The sequence below is a fragment of the Homo sapiens genome, chromosome 11 (genome assembly GCF_000001405.40).
Source record: "Homo sapiens chromosome 11, GRCh38.p14 Primary Assembly".
NCBI lineage: Eukaryota > Metazoa > Chordata > Mammalia > Primates > Hominidae > Homo > Homo sapiens.
The window spans coordinates 31,028,050-31,054,154 of record NC_000011.10 but is presented as its reverse complement, the minus strand read 5'-3'; the positions used below and the strand labels follow the sequence as shown (position 1 = coordinate 31,054,154).

Below are 26,105 nucleotides of genomic sequence, written 5' to 3'. Positions count from 1 at the left end.
ATTTGTGTACATTAATCTTGTATCTGGAAACTTTGCCGAATTCTTTTATTAGTCTTAGGAGATCTCTGGAGGAGTCCTTAGGGTTTTCAAGGTAAAACAATCATATCATCAGCAAACAGTGACAGTTTGACTTCCTCTTTAATGATTTGGATGTCCTTTATTTATTTCTCTTGTCTGATTGCTCTGGCTAGGACTTCCAGTACTATGTTGAAGAGGAGTGGTGAGAGTGGGCATCCTTGTCTTGTTGCAGTTCTCAGATGGAATGTTTTCAACTTTTCCCCATTCGGTATTATGTCGGCTGTGGGTTTGTCATAGATGACTTTTATTACATTAAGGTATGTCCCTTATATGCCAATTTTGCTGAGAGTTTTAATCATAAAGGGATGCTGGATTTTGTTGAATGCTTTTTCTCCATCTATTGAGATGATCATGTGATTTTTGTTTTTAATTCTGTTTATGTGGTGTATCAAATTTATTGACTTGTGTATGTTAAACCATCCCTGGTATGAAACCCACTTGATCATAGTGGATTATCTTTTTGATATGTTGTTGGATTCATTTAGGTAGTATTTTGTTAAGGATTTTAGCATCTATGTTCATCAAGGATATTGGTCTGTAGTTTTCTTTTTTGGTTATGTCCTTTCTGGGTTTTGGTATTAGGGTGATGCTGGCTTCATAGAATGAATTAAGGAGAGTTCCTTCTCTCTCCATCTTGTGGAATAGTGTCAAAAGATTGGTACCAATTTTTCTTTGAATGTCTGGTGGAATTCTGCTGTGAATCCGTCTGGTGCTGGACTTTTTTTGTTGGTAATTTTTAAATTACCATTTCAATCTCACTGCTTGTTATTAGTCTATTCAGGGTATCTAATTCTAGCTGATTTAAGCTAGGAGGGTTGTATTTTTCCAGGAATTTATAAGTCTCTTGTAGGTTTTCCAGTTTATGTGCATAAAGGTGTTCATAGTAGCCTTGGACAATCTTGTATTTCAGTGGTATCAGTTGTAATGTCTCTTGTTTTGTTTCTTAGTGAGGTTATTTGGATATTCTCTCTCTTTTCTTCGTTAATCTTACTAATGGTCTATCAATTTTATTTATCTTCTCAAAGAACCAGCTTTTTGTTTCATTTATCTTTCGTAATTTTTTTTGTTTCCATTTCATTTAGTTCTGCTCTGATCTTGGTTATTTCCTTTCTTCTGTGGGGTTTGGGTTTGGTTTGTTCTTGTTTCTCTAGTTCCTTGAGGTGTGACCTTAGATTGTTTTCTTGTGCTCTTTCAGACTCTTTGATATCAGTGTTTAGGGCTATGAACTTTCCTCTTAGCACTGCCTTTGCTGTATCCCAGAGGTTTTAATAGGTTGTGTCACTATTGTTACTCAGCTCAAAGAATGTTTAAATTTCCATCTTGATTTCATTTTTGACCCAATGCTCATTCAGGAGCAGGTTATTTAATTTCCATGTATTTGCATGGAGTTGATTTCCATTTTTATTCCACTGTGGTCTTCGAGAGTGTTTGATGTAATTTCAGTTTTCTTAAATTTATTGAGGCTCGTTTTATGGCCTATCATATGGTCTATCCTGGTGAAAGTTCCATGCACTGTTGAATGGAATGTGTATTCCACGGTTGTTGGATGAAATGTTCTGTATATATCTGTTAAGTCTATTTGTTCCAAGATATAGTTTAAATCCAATGTTTCTTTGTTGACTTTCTGTCTTGAAAACCTGTCTAGAGCTGTCAGTGGAGTATTGAAGCCCCCCACTATTATTGTGTTGTGGTCTATCTCATTTCTTAGGACTCTTACTAATTGTTCTATAAATTTGGGAGCTCCAGTGTTAGGTGCATATATGTTGAGGATTGTGATATTTTCCTGTTGGAGAAGGCCTTTTACCATTATATAATGTCTCTCTTTGTCTCTTTTAACCGCTGTTGCTTTAAAGTTTATTTTGTCTGATACAAGAATAGCTACCCCTTCTCACTTTTGGTGTTCATTTGTATGAAATGCCTTTTTCCACCCCTTTACTTTATGTTTATGTGAGTTCTTATGTGGTTGATGAGTCTCTTGAAGGCAGCAGATAGTAGGGTGGTGAGTTCTTATCCATTTTGTGGTTCTGTATGTTTTAAGTGGAGCATTTCAGCCATTTACATTCAATGTTAGTATTGAAATGTGATGTACCATTGCTTTCATCTTGCTCATTGTTGCCTGTGTAATTTGTTTTTTTGTTTGTTTTTTGTTTTTGCTTTTTAACTTGTATTTTTGCTTCATAGGTCCTGTGTGATTTATGCTTTAAAGATGTTCTGTTTTTATGTGTTTCTAGGATTTGTTTCAAGATTTAGAGCTCCTTTTAGCAGTTCTTTTAGTGGTGGTTGGTAATGGCGAATTCTCTCACCATTTGTTTGTCTGAAAACGACTATATCTTTTCTCCATATATGATGCTTAGTTTTGCTGGATACAGAATTCTTGGCTAATAACTGTTTTGTTTGAGGAGGCTGAAGATAGGTCCCCAATCCCTTCTAGTTTGTAGGGTTTCTGCTGAGAAATCTCCTGTTAATTTGATAGGTTTTCCTTTATAGGTTACCTGGTGCTTCTGCCTCACAGCTCTTAAGATTCTTTCCTTCATCTTAACTTTGGATAACCTGATGACAATGTGCCTGGGCGAAGATCTTTTTGCTGTGAATTTCCCAGGTGTTCTTTGTGCTTCTTGTATTTAGCTGTCTAGGTCTCTCACAAGGCTGGGGAAGTTTTCCTTGATTATTCCCCCAAATATGTTTTCCAGGATTTTGTAATTCTCTTCTTCCTCAGGTACACCAATTATTCTTAGATTTGGTTGTTTAACATAATCCCAGACTTCTTGGAGGCTTTGTTCATATTTTCTTATTGTTTTTTCTTTGTCTTTGTTGGATTGTTAATTTGAAGACCTTGTCTTTGAGCTCTGAATTTCTTTCTTCTACTTGTTCAGTTCTATTGCTGAGACTTTCCAGAGCATTTCACATTTCTAAAACTGTGTCCAAATTTTCCTGAATTTGATTTTTTTTAAGCTATCTATTTCCATGAATATTTCTCCCTTCACTTCGTGTATCATTTTTTGGATTTCCTTGGATTGGGCTTTGCCTTTCTCTGGTCCCTCCCTGATTAGCTTAACAACTAGCCTCTGAATTCTTTTTCATGTAAATCAGGGATTTCTTCCTGTTTTGGATCCATTGCTGGTGAACTAGTGTGGTTTTTTGGGGGTGTTGAAGAGCCTTGTTTTGTCATATTATCAGAGTTGGTTTTCTGGTTCCTTCTCATTTGCATAGGCTCTGTCAGAGGGAAGGTCTAGGGCTGAAGGCTGTTGTTCAGATTCTTTGATGTAGACTCTCCCCCTTTTCCTATAGATGTAGCTTCCTGTGAGTTGAACTGCAGTTATTGTTGTCTCTCTTCTGGGTCTAGTGAAGCAGTGAGTCTTCCCGGCTCCAGGCTGGTACTAGGGGTTGTCTGCACAGAGTTCTGTGATATGAATCATCTATGGGTCTCTCAGCCGAGGATACCAGTGGCTGTTCTGGTGGAGGTGGCAGCAGGTGCAGTGGACTCCATGAGGGTTCTTAGCTTTGGTGATTTAATGCTCTATTTTTGTGCTGGTTGGCCTCCTGCCAGGACACGGTGCTTTCCAGGAAGCATCAGCTGTAGTAATGTGGAGAGCGACTGGCGATGGGTGGGACCCTAGAACTTCCAAGATTAAATGCCCTTTGTCTTCCACTATCAGGGTTGATAGGGAAGGACCATCAGGTGGGGGCAGGGGTAGGCGTGTCTGAGCTCAGACTGTCCTTGGGCAGGTCTTGCTGCAGCTGCTGTAGGGGATGAAGGTGAGATTCCCAGGTAACTGGAGTTGTGTGCCTAGGAGGATTATGGCTGACTCTGCTGAGTCATGCAGGTTGTCAGGGAAGTGGAGGAAAGCGGGCAGTCATAGGCCTCACCCCGCTCCCATGCAAACTGAAGGGCCCATCCCACTCCCACTGTGCCCACCCCCAACAGCCCTGAGTCCGTTTGCAGATGAGGGCGAGATGGACTTGAAAATTTGCCTGAGGCTATCTGCCTCCCAGCTGTGACAGAAAAGGGCTTTAGTTCTTCCCCTACCTGTGAAGTCTGCAAGCCAGATTCTCACCCTCCCTGGAGTTCTGGCCAGGAGGCTTCTTGCCCTGTTCAAATTTTTACGAAGTTCAGCTAGAGATTTCCTTCTCCCTGTGGAGTTTTACTCCTTGCTCCTCTGGCCACCCTCGCAATGGATCCCTGTGGTGCCAGGCAGGAATGGCTGCTTGGGGAGCCAGCAAGCTCCCAGGGCCTTTCTGCTGCTTCCTGTACCCCTGTATTTCACTCGGCTCTCTAACTTGACTCAGCTCCAAGTAAAGTTGGAAACTTCTCCCGCAAACAGACCTTCAGCTTCTCCACTGAAGGTGTGTGTTTGGGAGAGGAGGGTCTCCCTTTCCCACTTTCGCAGTTGAGGCACTCACAGTATTTGGGGTGTCTCTTGGGCCCTGCAGGAGCAGTCCACTTCCTTCAGAGGGTCTGCGGGTCCTCTTGGGATTGCTGGTTTATTCATGCAGTCGATCTAGAGCTAAAATTCACAATGCTAACCTCCTCATGCTGCTCTGTCCAGAGCTGCAATCTAGTCTTGCCTCCCGTCCACCATGATCCCCTGAATCCCCCAAACATCTTTAATTCTTGTCTAGAATGTATTTGTTCAGTCTCTGAATATTCATTAAGTACCTTCTTTCTGCCAGAAACTTTGTTGGACACTTGAAAATAAAAATGTATACAAAAAGCTCATGATATTCATGAGTTCATAGTGTTACAAAATCTTTCCGTGCCATCACTAGTGAAAATCTGACTTGGGTTGGGCAAATTTATTGATCATGAGGTTTGTTTGACTTCATGGCCTGTCAAGTTACCGTCTTTATTCCTTTCTATTTTATAAAGCTTATATAACTAACCTGATCAAATAAGAGACCTGAATTTGTACTTTCTGACAGCATTTTATTTTCTTTGCACAAACAAAAGTCATCCATTTTTATTTTTTATTGTTTTAAAACTGGAATACAGAATTAACCAAACTATGACATAGGCCGTGTCTCAGAATTACTTTTACATTTTTAAAACAGAAATACCAAATATCAGTCTCTTATGATGAATGACCTCTTTAAATATTTCTAAACAATAAAGAAGTTTGATTTCAAATAAGTTAAGAATAATTGTTATAGTATATGTAGCCATTTTAATTGCCCATCAGTGTATCTATTTTAATACAACTAATTGACAGTCCTTTTTTTTTTGAGACGGAGTCTTGCTCTTTCGCCCAGGCTGGAGTGCAGTGGCGCAATCTCAGCGGACTGCAAGCCCCGCCTCCCGGGTTCACGCCGTTCTCCTGCCTCAGCCTCCCGAGTACCTGGGACTACAGGCGCCTGCCACCACGTCTGGCTAATTTTTTTTTTATATTTTTAGTAGAGACAGAGTTTCACCATGTTAGCCAGGATGGTCTCGATCTCCTGACCTCGTGATCTACCCACCTTGGCCTCTCCAAGTGCTGGGATTACAGGCATGAGCCACCGCGCCCAGCCGACAGTCCTTTTAACTGACTTGTTATCTGTATGTTTGTCATGAGTCCATTCTTTTTTGACCAGAAGTCTCTAATTGGGGCTTTCTGTGAATTAGAGGCAAGGGGTTCGACTGAGCAGACAGAGCAATGTGCCAATATTCAGATGCCCAGAAACAATGTAGGATGCATTTTCTAGATTTTAATTTGGTGAATTTCGTATCAGGATTTAAATCTTTAACTCCCATTGCTAAACTTTTTTCATTGTGTTCTCTCTTATTCTATGATTTACTAATATTTGAAAGTCAATTCATAGTAATAGCTAATATGCATTAATTTCTCATTTTTGTATTCATCCATTCATTTGATAAATGCTCATTGAGCACTTATAAGGAGAGATGGCATAACTTCCTGACATCTCTGAACTACAGTCAGATTAGTGTGGCTTCCAGTCCTAGCTCTCCTAAGTACTCACTGTATGATTTGGGGTAAGATATTTAATATTACTTGATTTCCTCAAATACAAAAGAGGGATAGTGATTATTGTGACGTTTAAATGAGACTATGAATATTAAAGTTGAGCCCAGTTCTTGGTATAGTAAATGTTCGGTAAATGGCAGCTTGTATGACAATAATAATGTGCTATTGTTAGTATTAGTATAAAGTGCAAAATATTATAAAATGCAACAAATTCCTGTCTTTAAAGAATCTGAAATCTCTTTAAAGAATCTGAATTCCTGCCTTTAAATAAGTTGTGCACTGCTAAATTTTATATGTTATTCAAAAAGTAATTTTTCAGTTATCATAGGATGTAGAGAATTGTACTATATAGTATTACAGTGGTCTTTAAGTTAAAAAAAATCCCTCCATCCTCAAGGAATTTTGCAATCTAAATATGAATATACACAATGAAATAACTTAGTAGTGACAAACTATAGTCACATTATAAAAATGTGTTTTTAGCCTCTGTGAATAAAAGAAATTGAGTATATTAAATCACCTCTATTGCCAAGTTGGAGGATATAAATAAAAGTGATAGTCTACTCTTGAGAAAGTTGAAATGTAGTTGAAGAGATAAGGTTAAAAACTTTAATGACTTTTATTGTTTCTCTTTATGCATGTTTATCACTAACCCTTAAAAAACTAATGAACAGAAAAAAATATACAATCTTGATTATTATTTTTTCTCTCTCCCTTTTTATAAATATCTGGCTGTTGTAGTTACATTTACAAAACTGAGGACATGCTGATTTTTTTTTCTGTTCAACAATGACAACACAATAACAGACATTAAGATTTTCTGTGAACATGTTTTCCTTACATTAAATATATGACTACATTATCATCCTTCAGTGTGAACCTTAATTTGTATAATGTAATGTTATAGGACTTTAAGAGGTTTCCAATTTTTTTTTGCTTTTATAAAAAAGATGACAATGAACAACAGATAGAAACTTGGAACACAGGGTAGAAGTTAAATAATAAGACTCAAATGGAATTTCCACACAGCAGTACATGAGGATACGCCACCTCACAAATGCCAAGAGTGTGGGAAAGAATGGATGGCTGTGTGTTTGGAAGACATTGTGGAAGAGAAGGGTCTGGAACCAGAAGAAGGATAGTTGGGATTTGTTTTGTTTGAAAGGAAAGAGAAGGACATTTCATGAAGGTGAAAGAGTCTGATTTCTTATTTATAAAATGATGGCTCCCCTAACAATAATGCATAAACGTGTAAAGTTTTTATTGTGAAAACTGCCGTCCAGTTCTGCCAGTTTGAGAATGGATGTTTTTATATGTGTCATATCTTAACAGAAACCTAGGATTTGTTTTAATTTCTATTTAAGTGAGCTCATATATCAAGCAGAAAGCTCTCATCACGAGGTAGGTCATAATTTTCTAACTGGTATAAGTTCCCTGGAAGCAACCAGAATTTTTTTTTCTCTTTTTCTACCCTTAATTGCACATATGGCTTTTTTTTTTTCTTACTGAGGCCAGTGAACACTTTGAGATTAACAGGACTCTTAATTTTGAAAGTTTTTAATTTTCTTTTTCAATGAATTTAACTTTGGCATAATTGAACCCATGTCTACCACTGGAAATTTGACAGTATAAAAAATTTTCAGTGTTTCAAAATAAGTTGAGAAAAAGATACCTTAGTGTTTATTTGGTACACATCATATATGGCTACTAAGATGCAGCTATTCTCTGAATATGACTGAGGACATTGGGTAGCACTCCATATTTACAAGCAGAAAGGCTTTTCCTATGAATGGTTAAACATGAATACTATTCAACATTAAGAAGGAATAAACTCTTGAGACACACAACAACTTGTATGAACCACAGTGAAATTCTGCTGAATGGAAAAAGCCAATTTCAAAAGCAAACACACTTTATGATTCCATTTATGTAACATTCATGAAATAACATAATTATAGAGATGGAGAACAGGTTAGTGGTTTCCAGGGGCAAGCAACGTGGATATGAATAAAGGGAGTCTTGTGATTGAACAGTCTAGTGTCTTGATTGTGATGTGTTACATATGTGATGGAATTGAGTAGAGCTACACACACATGCAAACACACACACATGAGTGCATGCATAACTAGTGACATCTAAATAAGCGCTATGGATTGTACCAGTGTGAATTTCTTAACATTGTACCGTATTTGTGTAAGATATTACCACTGGAGAAGCTTGGAAAATGGGTTTGGGACTGCTCTGTGTAACTGCCTATGAATCTATAATTACTTCAGAATAAAAAGTTTAAAAAAAGAAAAACATCTCCCAATTGGACATATCCACCACTGAGAACAGAGACTCCATGCAGTTGGAGAGCTCTGTGGAAAGGAAATTACTTGACTGCACTTATGAGCTTATCTAGGCGGGTTCGATACTCCTGAGAAGAAAAGTTTGTTAAAAAAACTAGGAACAGTTATCTTGAACCTCTGAAAGAATGGTACCATTAGAACTAGAGAGCAAGTGTTTCTCTAAACTTACAGCAATTGTGTTAATGTTTTTTAAAAAGCAAGTTACAACGTAGCTACAAAACGAATTCCTGGTTCTAACAGCAGGTGGAGGTATTTAGCATACTTCTAATAGGGAATTTTCTGCTAAGCTATTTAGAAGCCTACATTGGAAGTCTGTTTCTCTGTAAGAGTAACAAAATAAGTAAGTCTAAGGCGAGTTAAAAAAAAAAAAGGAAAAAGAAAAGAAAAAATGGGGTCAAATTCAGTAAACTTGAGGGAGAGGGAAGGATTTTGCCCTCCGTCACGTGTAAGAAGTGGGTCGCACAAGCAGAAATTTCTCTGAGTAGGAAGAGTAAAAATTAAATTCCTAAATTTGAGAGTCTTTTTCCTGTTTTATTTGTAAGAAGTACATGTAGGAAAAGGTGTGTGCATATGTGTGTGTTGGTGAGATTGGAATGCTCCTTTTTAGTCTACACACATATACATATAAGTATATTTATGAGACTACAAATAGATATATAAAGTATATATAAGACATAAGATTTTATATTATTATGCCTATACGTCTTGTAAAATACTCATTGTGGTTTACTGGTATACCATAGATTTCATTATTCCAAGGTTGAACAAAAAGTATAATAACATCTCTCTCACTGTGTCATGAAAGCCCAAATAATTAGTTTATTATTTGTCCTGAAACATCAGCACCACATGGTATTGTAGCAATAACTGCCTGTATTAGCTATCATTGCTGGGTAACAAGGTACCACAAACATAGCAGTTTAAAACAATGGCCATTTATTATCTCACAGTCCATTTAAACACAGCGAGTTTTCACCAAGTCCAAATGAACTTGTCTGGATTCTCTACTTAGGGCTTCTTAAGGCTGAAATTGAAGTGTTAGCTAGGCTGGACTGTTATCTGGATGCTCTGGGGAAGACTCAGCTTCCAAATCATTCCAGTGTGTTGGTCAAATTCAATTGTTCGTAGTTATAAGACAGATGTCCCCTTTTTTTTGGCTGGCTGTCACTCAGGGCCACTCTCAGTTCCTAGAGGGTACCCATGTTCCTTGGCACACAGCCCCTTCCATCTTCAGAGCTAGCAGTGGTGTGTCAAATCCTCGCTGTGCTTTTTTTTTTTTTTTTTTTTTGAGATGGAGTATCGCTCTGTCGCCCAGGCTGGAGTACAGTGGCGCGATCTCGGCTCACTGCAAGCTCCGCCTCCCGGGTTCATGCCCATTCTCCTGCCTCAGCCTCCTGAGCAGCTGGGACTACAGGTTCTCACCACCACGCCCGGCTAATTTTTTGTATTTTTAGCAGAGACAGGGTTTCACCACGTTAGCCAGGATGGTCTCCATCTCCTGACTTTGTGATCCGCCAGCCTTGGCCTCCCAAAGTGCTGGGATTACAGGCGTGAGCCACCGTGCCCGGCCCCTGTTGTACTTTAAATCTCTGTGACTTTTCCTTCTGTCGCCAACTGGTGAAAACTCGCTGTGTTTAAACGGACTCATGTAAGTAGGTTATGCTTGCCCAGGTAATCACCCTGTCTTGAGGTCCGCTGTGCCATATAGCATAATATAATTATGGGAGTGATATCTCGTATTCACAGATTCCAGAAATTAGGGAAAGACATCTTTGAGGGCGATTTGTAAAATTCTATCTACCACACTCCTGCAATCTGGTAAAGGTCTGGTTTAGATTATTTCTTGATTTATCTTCTAACTGTAGAATCCCTATCATGGTGAACACTAGCGCAAAAAAGGAAAACATAAAATATAGCACTTATAAGGTACAAAAAAAAAAAAGAAAACAAAAAGAAACACACACACACACAAAACAAATCAAAATTACCGGCTCAGCAGCCTCATAGTTTAGGCCTAATAGCCACAATAATTAAATATCACATACCCTACTTTAGGGTTTGGGAGGTGACAGAAGGGAGGAAAAATTGTAAAAATCGCATGTGGTGCCATGACAATAACTGTAATAGGTCTTTCCATTTTGTTGACCATCAGGAATTCGAGAACACAACATAACCAATGTCTGTTTATGTTGGTTTGTTCTCTTAGTTACAGGTAATAAAATTCCTGGTGCAAACTGATTTAAGCATGTAACCTGAAAAAAAAAATCCATTAGGGAAAAAAATTTTCCTACATGGAAAATGGCTTTTCCAACATTTTTCAACTGATACTTCTCCAACTTTTCTATTTTTCTCCATCTCAGTTCTGCCTTCAGGAGGCTTGAAGAAGGAACATGATGTCAGCAGCTTTGTCTCTTAAACTTTCTCAGATTTCAGATACATACGAACCTACCAGAAGTATGTACCAGCAAAAGTCTCATGAATTACTGGTCTCTGAATTACATACAAGTATGTATCAGCAAAAGTCTCTCAATTACACAGCATAAGGAAATTTTGGTCAGTGACAGACTGCATAGACAACAGTGGCCTCATATTTTCCTGTACCTTAACTATGTTTAGATACACAAATACTTGCCATTGTGCTACGGTTTCCTGCAGTATTCAGTACAGTCACATGCTATACAGGTTAGTAGCCTAGGAGAAATAGGCTATACCATATAGCCTAGATGTATAGTAGGCGATACCATCTCAGATTTGTGGAGTACGCTCTATGATGTTCTCACAATTACAAAGTCGCCTAGAAGCATTTCCCTGAACTTATTTGTTAAATGATGTATGACTGTTTAAACAAAGCCCTTTTGGGAAGGGTTCTTTATGATGTGCCAGTTGCCTTAGATCCAGGTCATGTGCACCAACACTAGACTTAGGGGTGGATCCAGCTTCACTGGAATCACATGGACTGAGACTAAGAGGTTGCTGGTTCTCACACAGAAACTAAGGTCAGGTTGCCAGAGGATGGTGAAGGATACTGAGCCGCACAAGAAGCAACGTCCACAACCGTGTCTTTCCTATTCAAAAGATATTTTTGTAGATATGTTTGATATCTATGGGTTGTATACAGATATTTCAACTCACCTGCTCACTAGTGTGAAGCGGTCATAGTGGGCTGGAAAAAAAAAACAACAACAAACCTTGGATAGCTATTTGATTGGTATTCAAACTATGCTTTAGGGAACCTCAGTATCCTGCTACTAAAAATGAAGACAGGGAAGACTTGGACCCATTCACAGAAATAATTGTATAGATCTTCCTTATTTTTTTCACAAAGACATTTTAAAAATGACTTTGGGACTTGCTGGCATTTGTTTATTCTAGAACTTAGTATAAGATGGTAAGGTGGTATCTGGTCTAGCAAAAAATCGGATATGTGGTTATTACAAATTAATAGGTTAATATTTTACTACATTCTGTGTGTTCCGTTACATAAACAAGTTTTGAATTATTGATACAATCCTCTCTCCTCAAATTGCAGGCCCAAAGAAATTAAATAATTTGTCTATGGCCACTCAGATAGTTAGCCAAGAATCCTAATATTGAATCTCATTCTAATACTTCACCAACCCCCATGCTTCATATTACAATATTGCCTATTTTATCCTGCATTGTTGGAGAATTTTATTGTTAAAGGAAAAGACAGTGAATAAGCAGGGAAAGAAAGACAAGAAGGTAGTTGCTGATGCTTCATATTGGATTTTACTGGAATGCAGCTTGTGTTTGTGGGGCTTCCCATAAAATCACTAACTTTACATGGTGTTCGGTGATAAAATCTTAAAATAAGACTTAGTTCTTTGTTCTAATATTTTATATGACATATAAACATAAAGTCATTTTGCTTTAGTGTTTTTACTTCTTTTATCTTTTAGACCATAATGATTTCTCCATAAAGGTCATCTAGAGGCAGTAAGATGAAATGGTCAAGAAGAGACTGGAATCAGACTATGAGGGTACAAATTCTACCCTTGACAAAATCTCTTTTTCTCTTGTGTTTCAGTTGCCCCTTCTGCCATATGAGGTATAATTCCTCAGTTGATAGTTGTGATGGTTAAGTGAGATAATATATGAAAATCAAGTGCCAGTATAGTAAATATAAGAATTAGGAGCACAGACTTGGGAGACAAAATCCCTGGTTCCGAATTCTTACTAGCTGTATGACCTTGGCCTATTTACTTAATCTTTCTGTCTCCACTTTTTCATCTGAATATTTTGAATAATAATTCCAGCCTTATTGGGCTGTGATGTGATTAAGTAAATCAATGTTTATAAGGCATTTGGAATAGTACCAGCACAAAGTCAGTGTAACGTAAGTTGCTTGATAAATGACTAAGTACTTAGAAATAGTGCTTGGGACCTAGTGCTCAGCAGAACAGTTATTTGAAGTGGTCCCCAGCCAAACCCCATCACTTTCTTTTATTTCCTTCCTGGACTTAGTGCTATATAAAATTGTCTGGTTTACTCATTTGTTACATCTTATTGTCTGCCTTTCTTTTGAGAATACAAGCATTTAAAAGTTAATGCCCTCCCTGAATGAGGACAGGGACTGTCCCAGATCTTTCACTCCTGTCCCTAAGAGCATGGAACAGTGCACAACACAGACACCACAAACTCAAGAAGTATTGTTGAATGAATTAATGATTAAAACTAACATTATAAGCATAAATACCCTTAATATATAATTGCTGTACTTTAAATGTAGTACTAACATGTGATAATGCTTCTGGATGAGCATGCTATAAATACTTTGAGCAAAACTTATTTGAGATATTTTCTCCATATGCAGATGAATACATATGATGCCTTGGTGCTTCACCACATCAACCCCAGAGGAGTTGCAACTTATTGATGCTATTGACCCAGCTTTTCTAGCTCACAGCTGTTTCCTGGTATCATGTCTGACCTCTGGAATAAGACAGGGTTTAAGACATTTTATTATTTGTTTATTGTTTTTATTTTTTTTCCTTCTGAAGTGTGGCTAACTGATAAAGTCAACTATAAGATTACCTTGTATTTTAGCACCAACATTTCTCAGATCTAGGCCCTAAAGGGTTAAACCCTTAATTATTGATGCAAATAATAGCAATTTATTGGTGCAAACGCCTTTTGTTTTTCAGTAGAAAATATTTGAACCTTTTATGGCTATCAGTTAGAATCATGTTTGAAATTACTAGCTTTAGTGTCAACCAGTAACTGGAAGAATTGTGGTTTCAATCTTGGGATCCAGAAGCTAAATCTAGTCTTCTTTTAACTATAACAGCGGTTCCCACACCAGCAGCATGCGCATCTCCTGGCAACTTGCTAGAAATGAGTTATCAGGTCCCACCCAAGTAGGATGGGAGTTGGGGGCAACAATCTGTATGCATCCTCCAGATAGTGCATAGGAAAGTCTGAGATCCATTGTGCAAATATTGTGCAAAAACACAAATATATGTAATTCAGCATTGCCAGGGGGATGACTGGAGGAGTTAAATGACTTTCATTTTTGTAAGACACTTAGTATTTATAACATATTCCGTTGCTTTTTTTTCTCAAGACATAGGCTCTGTTGTGTCTATTTTTACAGTCCTGTATTTTAATTTTTTTTTAGTTTTGACCATTTTTGCATAACCATATTTCTGTCTTCCAGTAGCCAATATTATTTTCAATGCCTTTCTGAAACTCAAACCACTATGGCTTGACCCATCTTTTTTGGATACCTGATAATGTTAAATTTTTCTTTTTAAGAGTTTATTGTTAGTCTTCATGCTTTGGGGTTAGGTTTTAATGATTGTAGCCACCTCAATAAAAATAAACATTCACATCAATTTATTCCTTATTCTCAGGAATGATAGAACTAAATCGCCTTTTATTTTATTAGTTTAACCAATATTTATGAAACAACTATCACGAGCCAGGTACTGTTTTAAGTGCTTCTTATTAACACTGATTTCCTGGTTATTTCTTTTAAAAGAGTAATTTTCAGTCAGCTTCTGTAAAAATTTTATGGCATAATACCCATTATCCTTGTGAATATCATATCATTCTTGAACCTTTCTGATGTTTTTTGTTGTTCCATAGGAACTTTATCTTAATTTTTAAAGGCTGTAAATCTATAATTTCTGACTCCTTTCCCTTTGTCTCTTTAAAAATAATACTGAAATGTACCAAGTGCCTACCATGTTGTTGGCGAGGACTTCATTTTGCACTTATTACCATATGAATTTAGGTATTAATATTATCCATAATTTACAAATTAGTGACTGAGAATGTAGTGAAGGTTGTTCAAGGTCAAAGAGCTAGTAAGTGGAACAATCAGGATCTGAAACAGTTGAAACTTAGAGCATGACCTCTTAAATATCATTGTGCATATTACATTTTAAAGCATTACATTTTGGTAACATTGCCTATTGCATTTAAATAATTCTTTGTATATGTCCCCTTAAAATTCTTTTTGTTGCATTTTCCTTTGACTGTTTTTCATTTCAAATCCTGAACTTAAAACAAAACAAAAACCTCTAATGTGTAAGGTTTAGTAGACTAAGGATCATAGCTTGTAACCCTACAGCATACATTACCTGTCATAGAGTGGTGGTTTAATGAGGGTAAAATAATAATTTTGGAAATAATTTTTATCATATTTATATTAATACATAACTATCCACAGCAAACAACTATATTAGATATCAACACTTGATTAGATATCAACATTTGAAAGTTACTTCATCAAATGATGAAATTAAAACTTATGAAAAAATTTGACCTTATGACATATGAAAAACATTTCTTTTGTAAGTCCCTTTTTTTCACTTTTACCTTCTAAACTTGCCTTCTAAACTTTCTTTATCTCTCTCTTCTCCCTCCCTTTTTTTTTTCATCAAAAGATATCTTTTCTTAGGTACATCCAAAGGAAAGCACTTCCAACAATAGAATTGTTCCCCAGGAGAACTGTCCTGTTGTTAGAGGATAGAATTTGAGTTAAATTCACTATTTGGGTCTTCAACCATGCTCCATGCCAGGAGCACTATTAACCACAAAGACACATTGACACAAATGGTAGAGAGCCTGCTGAGAGGCCAGAAAGTGAAACAGGTCAAACAAAATAATTTTTGGATACTTTCCTCTTCCAAAAATCTGTTATGAAATCTAGAATTGACCTCTAATGTATTTTATTTGTCAGTTGACCCAGAAAATCAGGACTTCATCATCATAACATCCATAGCACAAATTATTTTAATCCCAGAGTCTCCTCAAGTCTTGTTCTGTTTTTCAAAGATTTGGCAGAAATTACTAAACATGAAAGTATGCACAAAAAGTTGAAGTTACGCCAAGGAATCAGACATATTTTTCAGTTGGTTTAACAAATACAGTAAGCAATCAAGAAAATAAAATTAAGTATGGTGCTCAAAAGAGTGAAAAAAATTCACAAATACTCTCCAGGTATCCAAATGCTTCGTTCTGATATGTGCACTTAAATTCATTTTTTTCAAGTTTTTATGTGTGTGTGTGTATATATATATATATAATACTTTAAGTTCTAGGGTACATGTGTACAACGTGCAGGTTTGTTACATATGTATGCATGTGCCATGTTGGTGTTGCACCCATTAAATCGTCATTTACATTAGGAATATCTCCTAATGCTATCCCTCCCCCCTCCCCCAACAACAGGCCCCAGTGCGTGATGTTCCCCTTCCTGTGAAGCTGGAAAACATCATTCTCAGCAAACTATTGCAAGGACAAAAAACCAAACACCGCATGTTCTCACTCATAGGTGGGAATTGAACAATAAGACTTAAATTCATTAACTGAACCAAATTTCTACTTCTGCTCTCTGTTTTTCTAAAAAACACTAAATAAAAGACTATGCTTGCTTGAATCTCCTTTAAAACCATGATGAATTGTGGGAAATGGTTAGCTGAGATAAAATGAAAGTTAGAATTAAAGATAATCTTGATAAGAGAAATAAATATTTAGGCCAGGCGCAGTGGCTCACGCCTGTAATCCCAGCACTTTGGGAGGCCGAGGCGGGTGGATCACGAGGTCAGGAGATCGAGACCATCCTGGCTAACACGGTGAAACCCCGTCTCTACTAAAAAATACGAAAAATTATCCGGGCTAATTTTGTATTTTGTAAAAATACAAAAAATTAGGTGGCGGGCACCTGTAGTCCCAGCTACTGGGGAGGCTGAGGCAGGAGAATGGCGTATCCCGGGAGGCGGAGCTTGCAGTGAGCCGAGATCGCGCCACTGCACTCCAGCCTGGGTGACAGAGCGAGACTCCTTCTCAAAAAAAAAAAAAAAAAAGAAAGAAATATTTAGAGGCAGGCCAATTTTTCTTCATTAGGTAGAGCCTGGTAATCACTAGCAAAAACAAACAAATGTTAAGCTGCTAATGGGCACATCTGGCAAGGTAAGTTCTGGGACATCATAGTGATGGAGAATTTCAGGAGTCTCTGGGAAAAACCAAGTTTAGAAAACCAATTGGCTTTTATGCCTTTTCAATATGGCGCCATATGTGCACAATTATAGACCTATCAAGTAATCCTACTGCAACACTGGCTGAGGGAAGATTTAAAATGATACTGATGAAGTAAGCATTCCCACTCTCTACTTCAGTGAGGGTAGCTCTGCTTTAAGTGATGAGCTCCTGCAAAGGCAGTGTGGTAGAATGGTTAAACATGTAGGTGCTATAATCAGGCTGCTTCAGTTTAAATACTGGCTGATGACTTAGGAGTTATATGACCTTGGGCATGTTACTTACCTCTCTATCTCTCAGTTTTCCATATCTGCATAATAGTCATAATAGTAATACCTAACTCTTATGATAGGTTAGTTTATCATGTAATAGTTTATCAATGCTTATCATATAATAAGTATACCATAAATATCTATTTGAACAGAGTTCTGCTAAAAGAAAAAAAAGTAAATCCCTGTAACTATTAATTTTAAGATCATTACAGTTGACTCTATGTATCTGCAGGTTCTGCATCAGTGGGTTTAACCAACCTCTGATTCAAAATGTAGTTAGGACTATTTTGTATATAAAATATATAAGGGACTTGATTTTGGTATACAAAGGGAGTCCAGGAACCAATCCACCATGAATACCAAGGGACAAGTGCACATTGATTTTATTTTATAATCCTGTTTTACTAAATATTCATAAAGCCTGTATGTTGTGTTTGTGGTTTACATTTTTGAATTTTTTTGGGGTTTAGAGCAGGAGACAGGTAGAGAAGGCACTGCTATTAATGTGCTTTTTATAGTGTCTGTCACAGAGACATAGGTGGGTCAGGGCTTAGTGATGACTTTTTCAAAATGATACTGATGATGATTATCTCTAAGTAATGTTCAGGAGAACTAGGACTATTCCAAAAGAAATGAGAAAAATGAGCAGTGATTAAGCAGCGAACATAAATTTAAGAACATGCACAGAATATGGTGAACAGTTTTTGCCTTTCTCAAGTTCAGAATAAATAAGGAGAATAAATAAGCTTTCAGTTGAAGCACAGTCAACAAATGCCTATCTCTTGCCAGCTACTTTGCTAGGTGTGGAAAGATACAAGATCAGTCTTGAAGGAATATGTAGTTTGTCAGATGAAATATTCAGTTTCCATAGAGTAGAGCGACTTCACAGCGATTACTTAAAATAGAGCAGATTGGTCCCAAAAAGCTAGGAATTGCTTTACAAATAAAATGGGGGCATGTTGAAGGGGCACAGGAGCCAATCTGAAAAAATCTCTCAGTGGCCAAAGCTGGAACGATTTGAGCAAAACAATAAATATAAGCCACAACTTAAGATAAATATTTATGAATTTATACTCTTATAAACGCATCCTGAATAAATAAATGAATAGGAGAGAAGGAACAACTCTTTCTTACAGGAGAATTCCAGTTATAAATGTAGAAGGAATTAAGAAAATAGAAAAATCAACATCGGAACAGTATAACAATAATTGCTGTAAGCAAGATCCATCAGTGCAGGCTAAGATTAGTGAAAGTTTAAGGAAAAGCAAGACATTTTCATATAAGTTGTCCAAGTATTTATTAATTACTAAGGAAATATAGTTATTTTACAGTGGAGAAACATGGCAGAGAGCAAGTGATCAAAGGTAACATCACTGGTGATAAAACATTTCAGCATGTGCCTTCTGAGACGATGGGATGAGAAGGGCACACACAGCTCTGTGGTACTCTTCCCCTAAATCTGTAATCTCAGTTTAATTATGAGAAAACATTAGACAAGTCAAAAGTAAGGGATATGTTACTGATTAGTTTTCTTCAAAAGCATAAACGTCATGAAAGACAAGGGAAATTACTGACAAATTATCACAGGTCAGAGGAGACTAAGGAGACGTGATAACTAAATGCAGTGTGGTATCCTGGATTGGATCCTGGAAAAGAAAAAGGACATTAGTGGAAAAACCTAATGAAATACAAATACATAGCCTGTAGTTTAGCTAATACTGTCACACCAATGTTAATTTCTTAGTATTGATAATCATGCAATGGTAATGCAAGATGTTAATAGAGAAACTGGGTGAAGGATATATGGGAACTCTGTACTATTTTCACAGGTCTTCTGTAAGTCTAAAATTATCTCCAAATAAAGAGTTCAAAATAAAAGGAATTCTTTTAAAATTCTGAGATTACTTAGATATAATTCTGAAACAAAGCAATCACAAAAACTAGAATCTGCTGAACAGCTCTCACCTTGCAATTGTATAGAACTTTTCTGGGCACTTTTGCCTGGACCTAAAACATCCTCCATAAATGTATTATTCTTATCACTCCATTCACCAAACACTACCAAGGTGTGCTGAGTCAGTTAATGTGTATATAAAATGTATACAGAATGGATATATGAAAGTGAGACAAGGTGACTTTTTGTAGCACAAAGTAGTCATTAACAAAAATGCCAATCAGAATGTATTTCATGACAAGATAACTTTCTACAGTCATGGGTCCCTAAATGACCCCATATATTCTGTGAAATGTATCCTTAGGCAATTCTGACATTGTGCAAACATTGTAGAGTGTACTTACACAAACCTCAATGGTATAGCCTACTACACACCTAGGCTATACAGTATAGCCTATTGCTCTTAGGCTACAAACCTATACAGCATGTTAATATACTGAATCCTGTAGGCAATTGTAAAAAAGTATTTGTGTATCTACACATGCTCAAACATAGAAAAGGCACAGTAAAATTATGGCATAAAAGATAAGAAAAATGAGACACCTGTATAAGTCACTTACCATGAATGGAGCTTGTAGGGCTGAAAGTTGCATTGGGTGAGTCCAAATTTGAAGATCTAGGACATTATTGTACATTACTGTAAACTTTATAAACGTTCACTTAGGCTACAGTAAATTCATAAAAAATATTTTTCTTACTTTAATAATAAATTAACCTTAACTTACTGTAACTTTTTTACTTTATGAACTTAAATTTTTTTAACTTTGACTCTTTTATAATAATTCTCAGTTTAAAACACAAACACATTGTACAGCTGTTGAGAAATATTTCCTGTCTTTATATCTTTATTGTATAAACTTTGTATTTTTAAAGGTTTTTTTTTTTTTTTTTGAGACAGAGCCTCACTCTGTCGCCCAGACTGGAGTGCAGTGGCATGATCTCGGCTCACTGCAACCTCCGCCTCCTGGGTTCAAGCAATTCTCCTACCTAAGCCTCCTGAGTAGCTGGGATTACAGGTGTGCACTGCCACACCCAGCTAATTTTTATATTTCTACTAGAGACAGGGTTTTACTATGTTGGCCAGCTGGTCTTGAACTCCTGGCCTCAGGTGATCTGCCTGCCTTGGCCTCCCACAGTGCTGGGATTGATTACAGGCATGAGCCACTGTGCCCGGCCTGTAGACATTTTTACTTTTTAAATTTTGTTAAAAACTAAGACATAAACACACACATTAGCCTAGGCCTACACAGGGTCAGATTTATCAAGTTATCACTTAAGTGATAAGAATTTTTCAGCTCAATTATGATCTTATGGGACTACTGTATATCTGTGGTCTGTTATTAACTAAAATGGTTGTTATAAAGTGCATAACTATTTTTTCATTTAACGTATTAGTTTAGGTTACTGTGATATTTGAAACCTTCAAATAATTAATAGCTATGCCCAACTGGGAAATATAATTCCTCAGAATTTATCTTAAGCCAAAACTTAAGATAAATATTCATGAATTTATACTGTTATAAATGTATACTGAATAAATAAATGAATGGGAGAGAAGAAACAACTCTTTCTTACAGGAGAATTCCAGTTATAAATATAGAAGGAATTAAGAAAATAGAAAAATCAAAATCAGAACAGCAGAAATTAGGATAGATGTTAAATGACCTGAAAATAGAAACAAAAATAAGATCATGTAAAACAGAGTATATAAATAAATATATATGTAATTATATGTGTGTGTGTATGTGTGTGTATACACACATAATTTTTTCCCCTGGTAAGTTGTTTATAATTTCTTTTGACCAAGGTTTAAGTTCTTCCTCTCTACACTTGAAACAGACTTTTTTGGGCCAGCTTTGTAGCGTGGGCAATTTTTGTGCCTGTAATTATCAGACAACATACAATCTTGTGCATAAATCATTGCTGCTGCAATTATCTCATTTACCACTTGTGCCCTGGAGACAGATGAAACTGCCCCTCTCTAAACAGCTGGGATGGAATTGCTGGAAGGGCTGTCCATCCTTTTTTTAAACAGCCAAGGCCTCCCACCTCTGCCAGGTGTGTCTTTTTTTTACAAGGATTAGGGGAAAAGCAGGCGCCGCTATCTTTTAAAATAGATCCACTAAATTGCAGGAGTTGATTATGTTGGATCTAAAAAGAGTAAGGTAATTGTCCCGAGGTACTTGCAAGCAGTTTGGATTTATTTTATCCTCCTGTTAGCTCTTTCAACTCCACTTTGCTGAACTAATTAAAATAAGAAAAGGAAAAGAAAACTGTCCCCACAACTTCAAACCAACTCTCTTCTTTCAATGGGAACAAGAAAGCTCATCTCTAATTATAGCAAAGGAATGATAAATCTGTCCAATCCATTTGTTGTTTGTATGCCTGTTATTTGTATGGTTACCTCAATTACACCTTCAGTTTCCATTTTCATTTACACTGTCTCATTAGTATTTTTCCCTACAATTTTTTTTTTTTACTGAGGCATATGTATGTATGTATCATAATTGTATAATACAATTATGTATCTGAGGCATGATTGTATTATATCAATCTGACGTGTTATTTGTTCATTTTGTTTCTCGATTATGCATATGGCTTCTTTCCATAGCAGTCTAACTTTTTAAAGGAAATTAAATCAGAAACATTAGGAAATACAATATTCCTACAAGACATGAGCTGGTGAATTAAAATTAAAATATACCATGTCACATAATATTAGTACTTAAAATGTTGATGGAAACTAATTGTTCACTTGTTATGACCTATATCCTTTTGATTTCTGAGTCATTAATCTGAAGCAATATTTCTTGGGAGTTCATTTAGATCCTGAGATCTTGATCTATATGAACTTTGTGGGCCTCTCATTTATTTGATGGACATATAAAATGCAGGTGATGAACTCAGCAAGCCAAATTTCATAGGGATTTGGCCCCACTTATCAGCCTCCAAGCACAAAGGAGGTTGACTAAGGGAAGTCTATTTCTTTATTGTATTATTCTCCACAGAACTGAGTTTATATGCAGAGGTATCATTGTGTCACTTGATTTAACTAAATATATACCACTTAGAAAAATATTATTTACAGAATATCAAACATATTAAAATGTCTCGGTACATTTGTAGCATAAGATCACATAATTTAATTTGTCCATAATGACTTAAAAGAAAAATATAATGGCTGTTTTAGAGTTACAGGCTCTACACTACAAATGTCATTGTCTCTCTAGATTGTTTGTTATTCCAGCATAGATTGAGGTTCAATGCTTATTTGAGAGAAAATTTCTTTTTCATTTCATAAGAACCTAATAATGTGATGATTAAATTATTTTCACAATATTGCTGGCTTTCTTTATAGTAATAAAATATGATATATAGATTTAACTATGATTCCAGAAATAGTATTATTGTATAAGACATAGAGATTTGTCTTATACAATAAGTGTGTACATTTTTACCACTTTTCCACAATAAGTAGTAAAAATAACATCTGTAGGACACATTTTCAGTATTTTGCTTTTCAAATTCTTGTAAGATAAACATTATAAAAGCTTTAAAAATTGAAGTTATTACAATAAATCTCTCCAAAAAAGTATAATAATATCTAAAATTAGACTGTGTTAATTCTTAGTAAGTTACATACATAGCTCTTTGATCTCAGATATTTTAACATTACCAGGTTAGGGGATTTTTTTTCGGAAAAGCACAATGATATGGATTTGAGAAGTCAGTAATGAAAACAAAGTTTTACATATTTATCATTTTGAAAGAAAATATTAATTTCTAGCATTTGCCAATTCTTCTGAGTTTCAAAAATGACAACCTGTTAGTTCCTACCATTCTACTACACTTCTTTTAAGCCTTTCATGTAATCCTTACATGTTCGTGATTCAAAATTCTTTAATGAAGAACTATCCACATGTCTCCAATATTTGTAAGACTGCCTAAATGATAAATGAATCTGAAAATAATTCATCAGAAATTACAATTTGTAATCCTAACACTTTTTTATAAGGTACATAACCTTCACTCATACTCCGAGGTCAATATGTATTATAATTTTGTTTTCCTTAAGCTTATAAGAACTCAGATAAAAATAACTGGGTATAAGTGTGGTTTCCTCTGTTTCCTAGTCTCAGAGGGGGGAATTTCTAGATTAGTGGTTTTTTTTTTTCTTGCCCTGGGAAATATACAATTCTCTATGTTATGGCCATTAATGTTCAGTAATAAGTTAGTCCTCAAATACCAATAAGATGATGTGAGCTTGATGGAAGTTAAATGTCTCTAAATCCTATGAATTGATCTGCAGGAGCTGTTTTCCACATGAGTGGTGGCTTCACCCAGGCAGACATCCGCAAAGCCGTGGAGGTCAGGGTGATGGAGGAGGAGTGGGCTTGGCGGCACATATGCACTCTATTCCTGACAGTGTCTTGCTTCGGCAAAGGGAAGTGAAGCGCGTGTACCATGCTCAGTGGCATTTCCAAATGCAACTCAGCTGGGGGCCCAGGCTTATTGCATCAATGGCACATACCAGGCAAAAAAGGAAATACATAATTTTGTCAAAGTAGTAGATCACAATCTACCAATCCTTCCCTCCCCCTTCAAAATCATCACCCCCACACGCTAATAGCTCTAATAGACACAGACTTTATGCATATTTCAGTCACAGCAGTATTTCTAATGCATATGTGAAAGGGCCCTTAATTTATGTCTACCAACTGTGTGGTGCCCTTCTTTTGGGTAATGTCATCATCCTAATGGTGTTTCTATTATACTCAAAGGTAGTAAATGAGGCTTATTGCAAGAAGGTAATTGATTTTCACTGAGTGAAAATGTAAATAGCCATAAGAAATCCTATGAAAGATAAGCAGTTCAAAATTGCCAGGAAAAAAAAATGATTTGTATACATGACTTATTGGTCCAAGTATATGAAATCTTTTTTTTTTCAAGTCGATACCCACAATAACTATATTTCACATCATTTTATTTCAAATTGAAGTAAAAATTGAAGAATTTTGATGATCTTACAAATTTTACCAGTTTAACTGTGTATATTATGAAAATTATCATCTTACATGGAGGGGGGCTTCCTTTTGTCAGTGTGTCTCTGTAATGGATACCATGGAAATAAAATTCCTATTATGGATATGTAAAGATAAATAACTCTTCTTTGGCCTTTCTATAGTAAGAAAAGTAAATATCTGTATCAATAATGTATTCTTTTAAAATATATAAGACAAAACCTCATTGAAAGTTAACACGAATGTCAGCCTCATATTCGAGAAAAAAGCAAAGCTCAAAATGCATTTTATTGTTATAAAGAAGTATCAGGTAGAATCATGTGGCTTAGAGACTTGATTTGATGTGAATACAGAACAGTATTTTCTCATCAATTACATATCATTCTAAAATTTATAGTAGTGAGAGAAGAACCAAAACAACATAGAATATCTGAAACAAAATATTTGTTTGCTAAAATAATGTCAATTTAAAAAATATATATTAAAGAGCTTATAAAACTATATTTGTCCCCTCCACAAATGAAATATCATAGGCATCTGCACACTGATATCATAGCAAATATTACTTACATCACCATTGTTTTCTCAGTCTAAAAGATACCTTTCTTTAAAGAGCCACTTAACAGAAACAGAACATTTTAAGCAGAAAAGTCTTCTTTTTCTTCTTGAATTTTGTGTAATGGCAATTAAAAAATAGATTGTATTTTTTTTCCACTCCTGGTACCCCGTTTTGCTTATGATTGATAAGGAGCTTTTATTTCAGGAATTATAAAATATGTAGTGAGAATGTTTTTGATTTCTTGCCTTAGAAGTTCACTTGTTTTGAAAAGAAGGTTATCATTTGTGTTGATCTTTGGGTTGGCAGACGGAGAGATTTGATAAATTTTATTCCTGCAGGAGAGTAGGAAATGGAACAGGAAAAGAATCCAAATTTCCTCTCACTGATCGAAGTTTAGAGGTAGCAGTTCTTTTCTTTCATGTTCAACATTGTCATCGTAAAATCTTAGCATCTGTTTTACTCTTCATAACATACTTTTTGGCTGGAGGCAGGTCATACTTAGCTTAATTCAAACAGGGAGTAAACTGAAAGCGTGTTGACTTACTGCACAGTGCTATGAACAAAATATACTCTTTAATGTTAATTAATCTCCAACTAAACCCTTTAGTTTGCCACAGTTTTAGATTTAAATAGACAAAACTCCCTGGTGATACAGAGCTATCATTAATCACACACAGAATGATGTACAAAAATTCCTCTTAGTAGAAAGCCCATGTTCAAAATAAGAAATTCAACTTTATGGGGAAAACACAATCTTGTATGTTTATTTCATTAGGAAAAAAACATCAAATAGGTTTATCACAGTGTGACTTTGCAGTTTCCACATTTCAAATTTGCTAGTCTATTTGAAAACCCAGGTCTTTGTTATGTTTTCTCTGAGTTTTTACTACCTCAGATTTATCATGCTGTGAGTAAATAATGAAAACAGGAATGGTTTAAAGGCTACTAAATAATTACTATATTCAAATGTGAAATTGCAGTAAAAAAGATGGACAGGGCATCAGTAACTCTAGTTAGCGTATTTGATAGGGAGTGCATAGTGAGAAGAACTGTAAATGATACTGACAAATATGACTCTGAACATTTCGAGAAGACATTTGTTCTATTACTGATAATCTTAAAACCTTTTAGACAAAGGTAAAATTGGACCACTAAAAAAAGTATTTGGATAATATACAAGAGGGTCTGTATTATTCAAAAACAATCTCATGGTTTTATGCATTTGTATTAAGAATGTTTATTTTGGTTTTATTTTGAGATGCTTTTAGGAATTAAAAGTTATTTTAACAACTTTATCTGTGTTAGAAAAAATAGCTTTATTATATGTTATTTATAGCATCTGAAATCAGATAATATTTTGTTTTACAGACTATATATCATTGCATTATTGTTTTTTTATACTAAT

The 26,105-nt window shown here is 35.8% G+C and overlaps 1 protein-coding gene across 18 annotated transcripts in view; it reads left to right on the top strand.

Moving 5' to 3' along the window:
- The window catches only part of DCDC1 (doublecortin domain containing 1), a 506,137-nt gene that overhangs the window by 315,585 nt on the left and 164,447 nt on the right, over positions 1-26,105 (top strand). Inside the window, exons 21-22 of one of the 18 annotated variants that reach the window (XR_002957144.2) lie at positions 10,750-10,843; positions 12,310-12,372. The exons of 16 other annotated variants lie outside the window; for them this stretch is intronic. Coding sequence is in view for 1 of the 2 variants with exons in the window: in XM_024448485.2 (XP_024304253.1) it covers positions 10,750-10,783 (34 nt within the window). In the remaining variant the exon portion in view is untranslated. Of the gene's footprint in view, positions 1-10,749; positions 12,373-26,105 lie in introns of those variants that run through there. One more of the 18 variants, XM_024448485.2, reaches the window with a different exon arrangement.